The sequence below is a fragment of the Homo sapiens genome, chromosome 1 (assembly GCF_000001405.40).
Source record: "Homo sapiens chromosome 1, GRCh38.p14 Primary Assembly".
In the NCBI taxonomy this organism is placed as follows: domain Eukaryota; kingdom Metazoa; phylum Chordata; class Mammalia; order Primates; family Hominidae; genus Homo; species Homo sapiens.
In genome coordinates, this window is record NC_000001.11 from 58,640,666 (window position 1) to 58,653,503 (window position 12,838).

The 12,838-nt window shown below is 43.6% G+C and overlaps 1 annotated feature.

Moving 5' to 3' along the window:
* Window positions 11,972-12,266: an enhancer, noted in NCBI's record as "tiled region #3519; K562 Activating DNase unmatched - State 12:CtcfO". NCBI's record gives its function as "activates a minimal TATA promoter and a strong SV40 promoter by Sharpr-MPRA in K562 cells {active_cell/tissue: K562}" and the evidence as "EXISTENCE:reporter gene assay evidence [ECO:0000049][PMID:27701403]".

Genomic DNA, 12,838 nt, shown 5'->3' on the forward strand with positions numbered 1-12,838 from the left:
TAATTGCAATGAAGATTTCATTAGCTGGGTCTGCAACATACAGTCCAGGACACAAAAAGCCTACTTGACAAATTACCTCCTGTACTCACTGGGCATGGAGCCTTCCATCTGAGCAACTGGGGCTTTAGGGCATGTAGCTATTACCTGTAGCAGCCTGCAATGGCAGGTGTAATTTGGTAAACTAGGGAGGCTGGAGAACTGATTTTAAAGCTAGGTGATCCAGAATTAAGAGTATGGAAAGAAGGCTTGCCTTTGGGTCCTTGTCACTCCATCTGCTGGCCATGGTATCCTAAACAGATCACCCATCAATCCATCCATGTATCCATCCATCCATATATCCATTCATTCATGTATCCATCCATCCATCCATCCATCCATCCATCCATCCATCCATCCATCCATCCAACATTTACTATGCATTTACTATATGACAGATGCTGTGCTAGACCCTGGAGATAGAGATGAGCCATTTCAGCCCTCAAGGAGCACCCCCTTTTGCGAAAAAGGGAAAAAAAACCAATTTCATATTTAAGAAGTAAGCAGTGGCAACAAGTCCAATGTTGCTGGGGCTTAGTCCTGTGCTGGGAAATGGGAAGTCAGGGGAAACTTGTTGGAGAAGTTGATGATAACTGAGTCAGTCAGGAAGACAGAGCAGGGATAAAATGCCAGACAGAGCAAACAACACATAAATAGAGATGAAGTCTTGAGTGCCATGCTTTTTGTATTTTTATGATTTCTGTTGATTTTGCTGTTTAAAGTGACCCCCAAATAGAGGCTGAAGTGCTGCCTAGTGTTCCTAAATACAAGAAGGCTGTGATGTGCCTTATGGAAAAAATATGCATGTTAAATATGTTTCGTGAAAGCATGAGTTATATTGTTGTTGACCATGAGTTTAATGTTAATGAATTAACAATATATATTAAATAAGGTGCCTTTAAACAAAAACACACATAAGATTAGGTTATGTATTGATAGACTGAGAAAAATTTTGTGACTAGAGGCTCACAGGAGCCTAATTCTGTATATCCTGTAGGAGCAAATTTTCATAATTCTGTGTTCATAGTGATTTTATAGAATGGAAGTACTGTGAATAATGAGAATCACCTATATCTGTTATCTTCCACAAGACATAAACCAAGTCCCTTTCCTCAATTTCTTTCCCTGGAGAGAAGCTCTCACGTGTGAGGCAGTGTATAAGTGGGTAGCAATGTTTTCCCAGATTCCCTGAAGGTCTAAGTGAACCAAACCACACATGTATTTCTTGCCTTTTAAATATGGGCCTCATCCTTATTTCTCTAAGCCTCCCTCTATGTTGCCCCCTTGTCTACTTCCCACTAGACAAGGTTTATAGTGTTCTGCACAAGTATTGAGACTCTATGACACCAGGGAGTTTTGCCTCCTAAGACTGCCACCTCCACATCCCTACTCTCCATTCCTGATCTACTTTGCTCCATGTTCCAAGTAAGTTAGAATGAGAGGTTCTCACTATATGTGTGGGAGCACGTGCCTGTCCTTTGCTTCACAAGGCCCATCTACATTAGAGTATGTATTTGAATGTCCTTCTATGGACATTAGACTCATTTTATAAAGCACCTCCATTCCCTTTGCCCCATTCCCCTTAGGGGATGCCTAGCTGGTTCTTCCTGATGTCTAGCTGCTTCTCTCTACTGGCTGAGTCTGGTGTCTTTACAGGCACAGCATGAGAGCTGGGCAGCCTGTAGGTAGTTTTGGAAAAGTCAACATTTGATTGGTAAGAGGACATTATTCAGAAAGAACAAATCGGGAGAGAGTGGGCACACAGGGATGGAAGTTCTCACTTTGGGCTGCAGGTTTCAGGTGAGACTTGTCAAGCTGATTCTAAAATTAACATGATTTATTAGAGGGCCAATATTAGCAAAGACAAGTTTGAAAAAAAAAAAAAGGAGGAGAACTTGCTGCATCACCTATCAGGACTTATCATAAAGCTCTAGAAACTAAAGTGGTAAGGAATTGTCACAGAAATTGACAGACTAAGGGAACAGAATAGTGAGCCCCAAACAGCCAGGCATCTATTGGAATTTGACACTTGCTAGAGGTGGCATTAAAAATCAGTGAAAAAAGGATAGGCTATTCAACAAATGAAATGAGACAATTAGTACACACATGGGGAAAAAATAATACATAAAAATAACATTATGGGCCTTAGTATAGGAAATTAGACCTTCCCACCTAAAATCCCATATGTCATAATATAAATAATAAAAATATTTTCAGCTTTCTCAAAATTTAAAAGTTATATATGTAAAATAAAGTCTGAGAAAATTAACAGAGAAGCTGCAGACAGGGAGATAATTTTGTAATGCATATGAACAACCAAAGATCTGTAACTCAAATATAAAAAACTGCTGCAAATCTATGAGAAAAGCCAAACAACCTAATATAATGAGCAAGAAAAATGAACAATTCCCAGGAGAGGAATACACCATCACCCTCCACAAAAATGAAAAGATGCCCAAGCTCCCCAATCACCCAAGAAGTTAGAATTAAAACAATAATCTAATACCATTTCCCTCCCATCAGACTGGCAAGCATTTAAAAGTCTGACGATACCAAGTGACATTCTGATGCAAGGGTAACAGGAGTGTCTATGAATAATACAACTTCAAAGAGAAATTTGGCAATCTTGGTAAACTTGGAGTTGCAGATACCTTTTGGCTTCGCAGTTCCATCTCTAGGTATACATCTCAGAGAAACTCACACACATGCTCATGGAGAGATGCAAAAACGTATTAACAGCAGCACAGTTTGTGACATCACAAATATTGGAAATGACCTACATTTTCATCGAAAGGGAAGAATAACTAAACTGTAGTATGTTTATATAATGGGATGCCATTAAGATGAATGAAACAAATTGACACATATCACTATGGAAAAAATCTATAAACCATCAACAGTAGAGTTTCATAGTTCAGGTTCCCAGACAGACTCTGATACTCTGGTGAGATTTGCAAGAGTTTTTTGGGAAGTACTCTTGGCAACAACACTTGTCTGGGGTGAGGGAGGCAGGATTGTTTGGACACAGGAAAAGCTGAACAGAGGCCATCGCCAATCCCATGAGCATCTCTGGAGCTGGCATGTCTCTACTGAGTTGTCCTATTGAGGCAAGGACTCCAGGTATTTGTACTCCTATAGTTACCAGTCATTGGATAACTAATCATTGGATACCAGCTTCTTTCTGTAGAGGTACAAGACTCAGCTGCCTTGGCAGCTGGAGAGACTGGCCCCCTGACCCTGAAGGACAATCTGGCCATGCACCTCAGTATCCACCACAGAGAGAAAATCAGGCAACGCATCAAGAAGATACATTACTAAGAGGGTTAAGATATTAATAGAGGGTTTCCAGGTAGGCTAGAGTGGAAATGCTCTTGACAGAAGATAGAGCACGTACAACACACCAGTCTATGGAAAAGCATGTAGGTGACCTGCTGCCATTGAATGTTTCAATCTTGTTGTCTTTAAGGGGTTCTTTATGTATTATGGATTTTAATTGTTTAATTTTTTTTTACCATGAAGGGAAAAATATTTTTCCCTTGTGGCTTCTGATTTTTGTGCATTGCTTGAAAGGCAAGTATTATAAGAATATTCTCCAGTATATTCTTAAGTGATATATTTCTACTCACAACATAGGCCCAACTTCACGGTGAAGGCCAAGACAGCTATTAGAGCCCCCTGTCTGTTGTTATCTGATCTAAGACACCCTTCCCTTCCCCAGAGAACCTAAATCAGGAACGATTCCTCCTTCAGGTACTCTACTGTCCTCTGTCTATAGAGGGTACGCCTTCCACCTAGCAGGACCTTCGCATGCAGCTGCCTCCTTTGGACTGTGTGGATCGACTCTCCACCTGTATTCCAGGTCCTTCCTCTAGCTGGAATGGTTAGAAAACTAACCATTTCAAGTCCCAGAATATCAGAGTTCTGCATGCTGATTGGGTTCTGCCATTTAGATGTTCAGGAGATGTAAAAGGGCAGCGAGGGGGACGCTAGCAAGTGGGACTGTGGAGATGTGAATTTTCTGGAGAACTGCTTTGTAGGGCCCCTTCATTCACTGGTGGCAAGGGCTGCTTGCTTGGCTTCCTGATCCCTGGGTGGTCAGAGCCACAGCTTCCCAGTGTTCAGAGGCAGCAGAAATAGTAGTGGTCACTGCAGCAGTGGTAAATTCTTAATTCTAGCAGGCCCTAATTGTGGCCTCAGAGGTTCTAGTTCCCTCAGTTGGACAGTAAGAATCATCTGGTGGTCATTTCTGGCAGCCTTGAGTAGAACCCAGAGCTGCACCCCTTTCCAACAGTTTTATAAGCATCCAATTTCCTGTGTTAAATCCCCTCTTGTATAAAATATTTACATGGTTTCTATTTCCCACACTGAAACTTTGCTGATATGATATCCAAATAAGAAGAGTGGCCGGGCGCGGTGGCTCACGCCTGTAATCCCAGAACTTTGGGAGGCCAAGGCAGGCAGATCACTTGAGGTCAGGAATTCAAGACCAGCCTGGCCAACATGGCAAAACCCTGAATCTACTAAAAATACAAAAATTAGCCAGGGATGGTGGCACGGGCCTGTAATTCCAGCTACTTGGGAGGCTGAGGCATGAGAATTGCTTGAATCCAGGAGGTAGAGGTTGCAGTGAACCGAGATCACGCCACTGCACTCCAGCCTGGGTGACAGAGTAAGACTCTATCTCTGAAAAATAATAAATAAATAAATAAATATATAAATAAGAATATAAACAACACCACTAGTAATAATAATAATAAATGCAACACTAATAGTAGCTAACATTTATTGAGTACTTGCTCCATTCCAGGCACTGTTCTATATATTTCCATGTATGAACTCATTTAATCCTTGCAACAACCTTGCAAGTTAGGTACTATTAGTGACCCCGTATACATATGAAGAAACTGAGAAACTGAAAGATTTCCCAAGGTCACACATCTAGCAGTCGCAGAGGTGGATTAAACCTGGGCAATCCTGACGTAAATACCATAAGAATAACAATGGCCAAGAAGGTGTCTTTCTTACATGTCTTCTCTGTTTCTCCCACTAGACTCAGGACTCCCTAGTCCCTCATCACTTTAACATTATAAAAGTGCTTTATTAATTATTCATACAGAACCAATATAGGTGGGACACAGTGGCTCACACCTGTAATCCCAGCACTCTGAAAGGCCGAGACAGGAAGATCGCTTCAGCCCAGGAGTTCGAGACCAGCCTGGGCAACATGGCAAAACCCCATCTCTACAGAAAGTGCAAAAATTAGTCAGGCATAGTGGCATATGCCTGTAGTCCCAGCTACTTGGGGAGCTAAGGCAGGAGGATCCCTTGAGTCCAGGAGGTTGAGGCTGCAGTGAGCCGTGATTGTGCCACTGTACTCCAGCCTGAGTGACAGAGGGAGACCCTGTCTCAAAAAACAAAACAAAACAAAACAAATATGATTAGAGAAAATGCAATCTTATTTATTATGGCTGATATTCAATCTCTTCTCAGAATCTACATTGCAAAACCAGCTCAGCAAGCTCTAGACTATGCCTTCCCTAAATCAGATCTAAATCGGTGACAGAAAACTATATCTATTGACATAAGGAAGAAATCATCAGGCTTTTATGTGCTCCAGAGAGCTCCAGAAAGACAGGTCAGATCTGGGCTTAACCTTCAGGTTGAAATTCATTTAGGAGTAATTCTGGAGCAGTCGTCTCCAGTAAGAAATGTTTCCTTCTCTTACCCCTGAGTCATCCCCCCAGGTCTTCCAGGGTGAAGTGAAGATGATGTTGGCTATTCTAACTGCCTTTGTTGATCATGAATGTGCCTGGATAAAGCAGGACTTTGGCTCTGGATGCGCAGGGCTCTGGAGAAACTTGACAAGGCCTGTTAGAGAGGATTGGCAACAGGTCACAGGGAAGAGCTTGGGTTCTGGCTTAGATTTCAGGTCCTGGTGGGAGGCCCCAGGGGCAGGAAACAACATGTGGACTTAGAGATGTGTTTGGTAGACAGGTGCTAGAATTGGGGTTTAGGTGGGGCCTTATCCACCAGATGGTTATTAGGATTGGGGTGGGAGTTCTAGAACAGTCCCCAACCTTTTTGGCACTAAGGACTGGTTTCGTGGAAGGTAATTTTTCCATGGACCGGGGATTAGGGGACGGTTTTGGGTTGAAACTGTTCTACCTTAGATCATCAGGCATTAGATTCTCATAAGGAGTGCACAACCTTGCATGCATACTTCACAATGCGCTCCTGAGAATCTGATGCCACCACTGATGTGATAGGAGGTGGAACTCAGGCAGTAATGCTCACCGCTGCTCACTTCCTGCTGTGTAGCCCAGCTCCTAACAGGCCACGGACTGGTACCAGTCCACAGCCTGGGGTTTGGGAGAACCCCTGTTTTAGAGGAATCTGCGGCTGGGATGACTAGATACTAAAGACTCCAGAGCCCAAGATGTTCTATGTCTCACTCCTTCCCTACTAAAGTCAAAATGGATCCCAGAATATCCAGAAGGGCTGAGTCTGAGTAGGAGGGTGAAAGGTGCCAAGTGGTTCCAGTTTTCAAGGCCAGCGGGCATTTGGTCATTGGGTCAGGCCCTCAGTTATACTGCATGCCCACTTGGACACTCTGGAAAGTTGGTCTTTCCCCACGTGCCCTGTGTTCATGGCTTGAAGACGAATCCCTTCCCCCAAGAGCAGAGCAACTTCCACTCTGGCTGATCACCCCCTGGCCTGTTTCTGGAATCTGACTCCACATCTCTGCTAATGGCACCTCATCTCCCATCTCTCTGAGTCTTGTCAATTCCTGCCTGGCTGTCGCTCCTGCTTGCAGGCAGGATCCAGGGTCTTTCCAGTCCACCTCCAAAATCTCTATCTGTCTCCCTCTCATTGCTTTTTCTTTTCTGATTATAAAAATAATGTGGCCAGGCACAGTGGCTGATGCCTATAATCTCAACACTTTGGGATGCTGAGGCAAGATGATCACTTTAGGAATTCAAGACCAGTCTGGGCCACATAGTGACATCCTGTCCTACAAAAAAATTAAAAATTAGCCAGGAATGGTGGTGCACGCCTTTAGTCGCTGCTACTTGGGAGGTTGAGGTGGGAGGACCGCTTGAGCCCAGGAGTTCAAGACTGTGGTGAACTATGGTGACACCACTGCACTGCAGCCTGGGCAACAGAGTGAGACCCTGTCTCTTAAAAAATAATAATAATATATGCTAATCAAAGGGAATGTAGAAACTATAGAAAAGCATGCTGGATTTGGGTTAATGGATTGGTCACACACAATGAAATCCCATGCCCTCCTGAAACATCACTCAAGCACAGCAAGGTAGTAGGGGGGCTTTGTTTTGAGAGACGTGACAATAATGAATCAATGCATGGGGTCTGACTTAGCAGGTCTGGAGAGTGGGAGAAGCAGACCCTCAAGAAGTGACCTGATTTACCTTGTGGAACCCCCAAAGCTCAAGAATTTGTAGCACCAGGGACATCTGGAATTGGGGATGCCAGTGGGGCTAGAATGATGATAGCTGGTAGAAGGTGGGTTGTGGGTTTAAGGCTAGGCACGGTGGCTCACGCCTGTAATCCCAGCACTTTGGGAGGCTGCCGGGGGAGGATCACTTGAGGTCAGGAGTTGGAGACCAGCCTGGCCAACATGTTGAAACCCCATCTCTACTAAAAATAGAAAAATTAGCCAGGCGTGGTGGTGAATGCCTGTAATCCCAGCTACTCAGGAGGCTGAGGCAGGAGAATCGCTTGAACCTGGGAGATGGAGGTTGCAGTGAGCCGAAATCACACCACTGCACTCCAGCCTGGGTGGCACAGTGAGACTGTCTCAAACACACACACACACACACACACACACACACACACACACACACACACACACACACAGAGAGAGAGAGAGAGAGAGAGAGAGAGAGAGAGAGAGAAAGTGGGTTTAAGATGTAGTTATCCCTTAGTGGCTTCCTGCTTCCTTAGCAGGCTACTGACCATCTCACCCCCAAGAGGGTAGTCGCTGCCTGGTCAGTCTCTGGAGAAAGTGAAGCAGAACCTTTCTGGAGTGGGGAAAAATTGGAGGATTAGGTGAAAGTTTACATGCTCAATTTTGAGGTGTCTATATCTTTTCTCCTACTTGGCTCCCCAGGGATCTGGAAGCCAAGCTTAAAACTTGGGTGAGAGATTGGGCAGACATTGGAAATAAACAGGGCCAACCATAAGGGCCACTGTACTTCCCAGTGCCTCCTCCCTTCAGCCAAATCGGCTCTGCTTGGTTCCTTCCTTCCTTCCCTCTCTCCCTCCGTCTCTCTCTCTTTCTAGATGTAACTCATAGATCATCAAGTTCACCACTTTTAAGTGTGGTTTTTAGTATCCGGAGTGGTTTTTAGTATATTCACAAGGTTGTACAACCGTCACCATCACCACTAATTCCAGAACATGTCATCACCCCAAAAAGACATCCTGTATCCATTAGCAGTCACTCCCCAATCCCTTCTTCCCACCTGAGACTCTGGCAACTTCTAATCTACTTTTTCTATCTATGATTTGCTTATTCTGGACATTTTCTAGAAATGGAATAATACAAAATGTGGTCATTTATGTCTGACTTCTTCACTAAGCATAATGTTTTCAAGGCTCATTAATGTTGTAATATATGTCAGTGCTTTATTTCTCTTTGTGGCTGAATAATAATTCCATTGTATGGGTAGACCATGTTTAATTTATCCATTTATCAGTTGATATCCAGTTGGGTTTTTTCTATTTTTTGGTTATTACTTGTTTTATATGCTTGGTTTTAATGCAAGATTTGTTTTCAACAGCGATTTCTAACTAAATAAAAGTCTGAATACTACTGGCTTAGAGAAACCTTTTCATTTTAGGATTTGAAGATGTTGGCTGTTGATTGCCTGAATCTCTTTCCATGAGGAACATGAAAGCACCCCTCTCTAAAATAGCATTGGACACCCTGGGGGACCTGACCCCATGTCCACATCCCCTTCTGTGGTCCCCGACTCCTAGCCACACACGATGCACACCAGCCTCACGGAAATCTACAATTCTTGGCACTGTGCCACCGCTTCCGGGGCACCTTCTGCCTAGAGTGCCTTTTCTCTCTTCTCTTCCTGTCCAGATCTATTTCACCAAGAAAGCTTTTGACCAGAAATCCAGGGCTCCTATTGTACAGCCCTGTCTCTCTACAAAACCAGAAGGAACTTCATGCCACATAGAGCCCTGCAGGTCCCACAGCCTGTCCCAGGTCCCTGGATCAGGAGGGAGGGCTCTTGAACGCGTAAACCCCAGGGACATGGCAAAATCCTTTCCTTCTCCTTTTGCAGCAACAAAAGGCCCCCAAGCCCTCCAAATGTCTGCTTTTTAGCATTGCTATTTTGGTTCTATTGTTGTTCTCCCTCCTAAGGAGGAGACGGTAACTAACTGCATTCTGGGTCTGCCCAGAGTATGATATATCTTCCTCCGCTGGGCCCTGGGCAGAGAAGCTGGGCTGCATTGATTTCCTGGGTGAAACGGAAGTGCAATTCACAGGCATCTTTCAAAGTGGAGAAAGGTCCTGGGTGTGGGCTGGAGCTGGACCTGTCTCTCCTGGCTCCCCTCAGGCAGGGCTGTGGATGATGCACCTAGTCCTGTTTGCCTGACAGAAAAATCACTTGCCCAGAAAATGCAGAACCCATCCCACTGCTGGACCTCAAATCCAGCATGACTAAGGCACCTTAGTCATCTTTAAATGGATTCTACCCTTTTGCCTGTTTTTTCTGTTTTTTGGTTTTTTTTTTCATTTTGTTTTCCATGTATGAACCCCACAGAAGAGAACACAAGGTGATGGATGAAAATGTTTGAGCAGTTGCTACCCAACTCGTAGTGATAAAAATACTCAGGATATAAAGTGGTAACACCGCTGACGCCTCATAATTACCCAAGTTATGTTGCACTTTTGATTAGAAAATGCAATTATGTTTATAGTGTTATAATCTCACCTGCCTTTGTGTTTTTGAGAAAATTGCAAGAGAATACCTCTCCTGGAGTAGGCTGCCCTTGCTAATCAGTTGATTCATGTCTCTTGAAGTGCTCATTGCACTTAAGATAATGAAGAGATGTGGCTTCTCCGGGGCTCTCAGCTCCCACCTAGACTCTGGGGCTTGTTTTTCAGAACAAACAGCTTTGTCTCAGTTGTTTTCTACTCCTCACAGGAAATCCAGCAACTGATTGTCATAGAACTGATTTTTCCCCAAGAATCTGCCTTCCATTCTTTCTTTTTGCTTTCTTTCACTTATTCAATTATTTATCCATTCATCAAGCTGCCATCAATTAAGTGCCTTCCTAATCTATGCTAGGTATTATACTAGGCATTGGGGATATGAAGTGTGAGAAGGCAGGGTCCAAGCCCTTCAGAAGCTCCGTCTCATAGAAGTAGTAGGAAAGAAAAGAGACAAGCAGAAGGCAGTGTGACTGGGGCCGAGATAAGAACAGGGTGTGAGAGGGGCCCAATCAACCCCATCTGGAGTGAATGAAGACTCAAGGCAGGCAGGCTTCCAGGTGGAAGTGATGTTTGAGCTGAATTTGAAGAAGGTTGGGACCAGGAAGGGTGTTGTTCAAGCATGGGGAAAGGGGTGAGCCTGCAGGGGTGAAGCTGCCCATTTTGGATTTGTCTAATCCAAGATGGGCAGTTGAAATGGGTTGAGTGGCTAGGGCAAAAAGCAGAGGCAGGAGTGTGTGTGTGTGTGTGTGTGTGTGTGTATTTGTATTTGAAGGCAGGAGTGGCAGGAGGTTAGGCTAGAGAGGGGTGCATCGTAAGTAAGGGTCTTCTGCGCTTCCGCGTCAGGAGTGGTGCAGAAAACTCGCCAAGCCATTAAAAAGCTTTTAGCAGCGGGGCACGGTGGCTCACACCTGTAATCCCAGCACTTTGGGAGTCCAAGGCGGGTGGATCACGAGGTCAGGGGTTCAAGACCAGCCTGGCCAACATGGTAAAACCCCATCTCTACTCAAAATACAAAAATTAACTGGGCATGGTGGCACACGGCTGTAATCCCCGCTACTCAGGAGGCTGAAGCAGGAGAATGGCTTGAACCTGGGAGGCGGAGGTTGTGGTGAGCCAAGATCACACTAATGCACTCCAGCCTGGGTAATAGAGCAAGACTCCATCTCAAAAAAAAAAAAAAAAAAAAAAAAGCTTTAAGCACAGAAATGATGTGCTCAGATTTATGCTTCGTGAAGAAAAAAAAAAATCCCTCGGCTTCAGTGTAGAGGATGGAGGGGGACCTGTTGGAAGCAGGAAGATTAATTACCTGTGACAATGCAAGAGGCTCTTATGAAATAGAGAATAGAGAACCATGTCAGAGCAAAATTTCTATCCATAAGGTCCATTCCTTCTGTTGTCTGGGTAACAAAGACAATCCCTTGGTATATCATCTACCATGTTTGGGTAAAGCATGACACAGGACCTACGAGCACAGGATTTCTTTTGTTGCTCAGAGAAGGCAAGAATTGCCATGAGGCGTGACCCAAGATCACAGGATAAGGAATGCACACACTTTGACTTCCCAATCTGGCTTTGACTGGGTCTGTGACTTGGACTTGGGTATCAGTTCTCCCATCTCAAAGTGAGGAGACTAAACTAAATTGTTCCTTAAGTTTCTTCCAGCTCTGAAATCAATAACGTAATAGCTTAATGAGCTGGCTTTAGAATTATATATGAATCTGAATTCTCTCTGCCACTTCTGGCTGCATGACGTTGGGCAAGTGACTTAAACACTCTATGGCTAAGTTTAAAATGGGGGTAGTAAGATTCTTCTTGCAAGGTTGTTGTGGAAACTAAATGTGACACTGTTATGTAAAGCATTTTTAGCACTGTATCTATGTATAATAGATGGCTGTTACTATTATAAACAAAAGTGAAGATAGTTAACCTGGATACTATGAAACAAGGAAACTCATCCCTAGATCATACTATGTCAAGAAACTAGAAAAGTGAATGTGTTAGTGCTTACAAATTCAGCTACACGTGCAGTCTTTTCTGCCTCTTAGGCTAGCCAACAGTACTGGGCTGAGATGGTAGTGCTGACACACTGTGACAGAGCACCCTCTAGTGGCCGTAAGCATTAACATTTTCATTACAATTATTGAAGAACATGGCTTTGTGGACATGCATGCAAACATCGAGGATTTGGGTTTGTTACTCTTAGATAATGCCAATAAAGCGAATAAAGTCTCACTAATTATAGCACTTCTAATAGTAATTCCTTAGTCAACTGTTCCACAAAAATCATGTTCTGGGCATTGATAAGATCTTGCAGTTCTAAAAGAGACAATTACATTTTAAATTAAAACGTATTAACATTTGAATCTCACATAAAATACTAAGTAGTTCTTTATGAGATTGAAAAATAATGTGACATCACTCAAAAGGATGGTGCAGTAGCACTTGGGTTAGGTGGCAGAGCTGGGGTCTTTCTAGGGGCGATCTTGCTACAAACTTGGCTGTGACTTTGGGCAACTTGCTTCATTTTGGGGAACCTGTTTCCTATTAAAATATAGAACTGTAAGCCTGAACAATCCTTTTTCCAGCTTTAAAATTCTCTGAATTAAGGGAGATAGGTTATCCATTTTAATATAGAGCTCTGGTTTCAAAGAAATTTGATGTCAACTTTTCTTCATGAACATGGGGTCTCAAGTACAGTAGTTTAAAGGCCATGCAAAGACAAATTTATACTATTTTAGAAAATCAATCCAAGCCATCTGTAGCAGAGATAGCTAGTCATTAACAACGATTCATATTTCCTTTCCATAATGTAGAATTTTGCAGAAG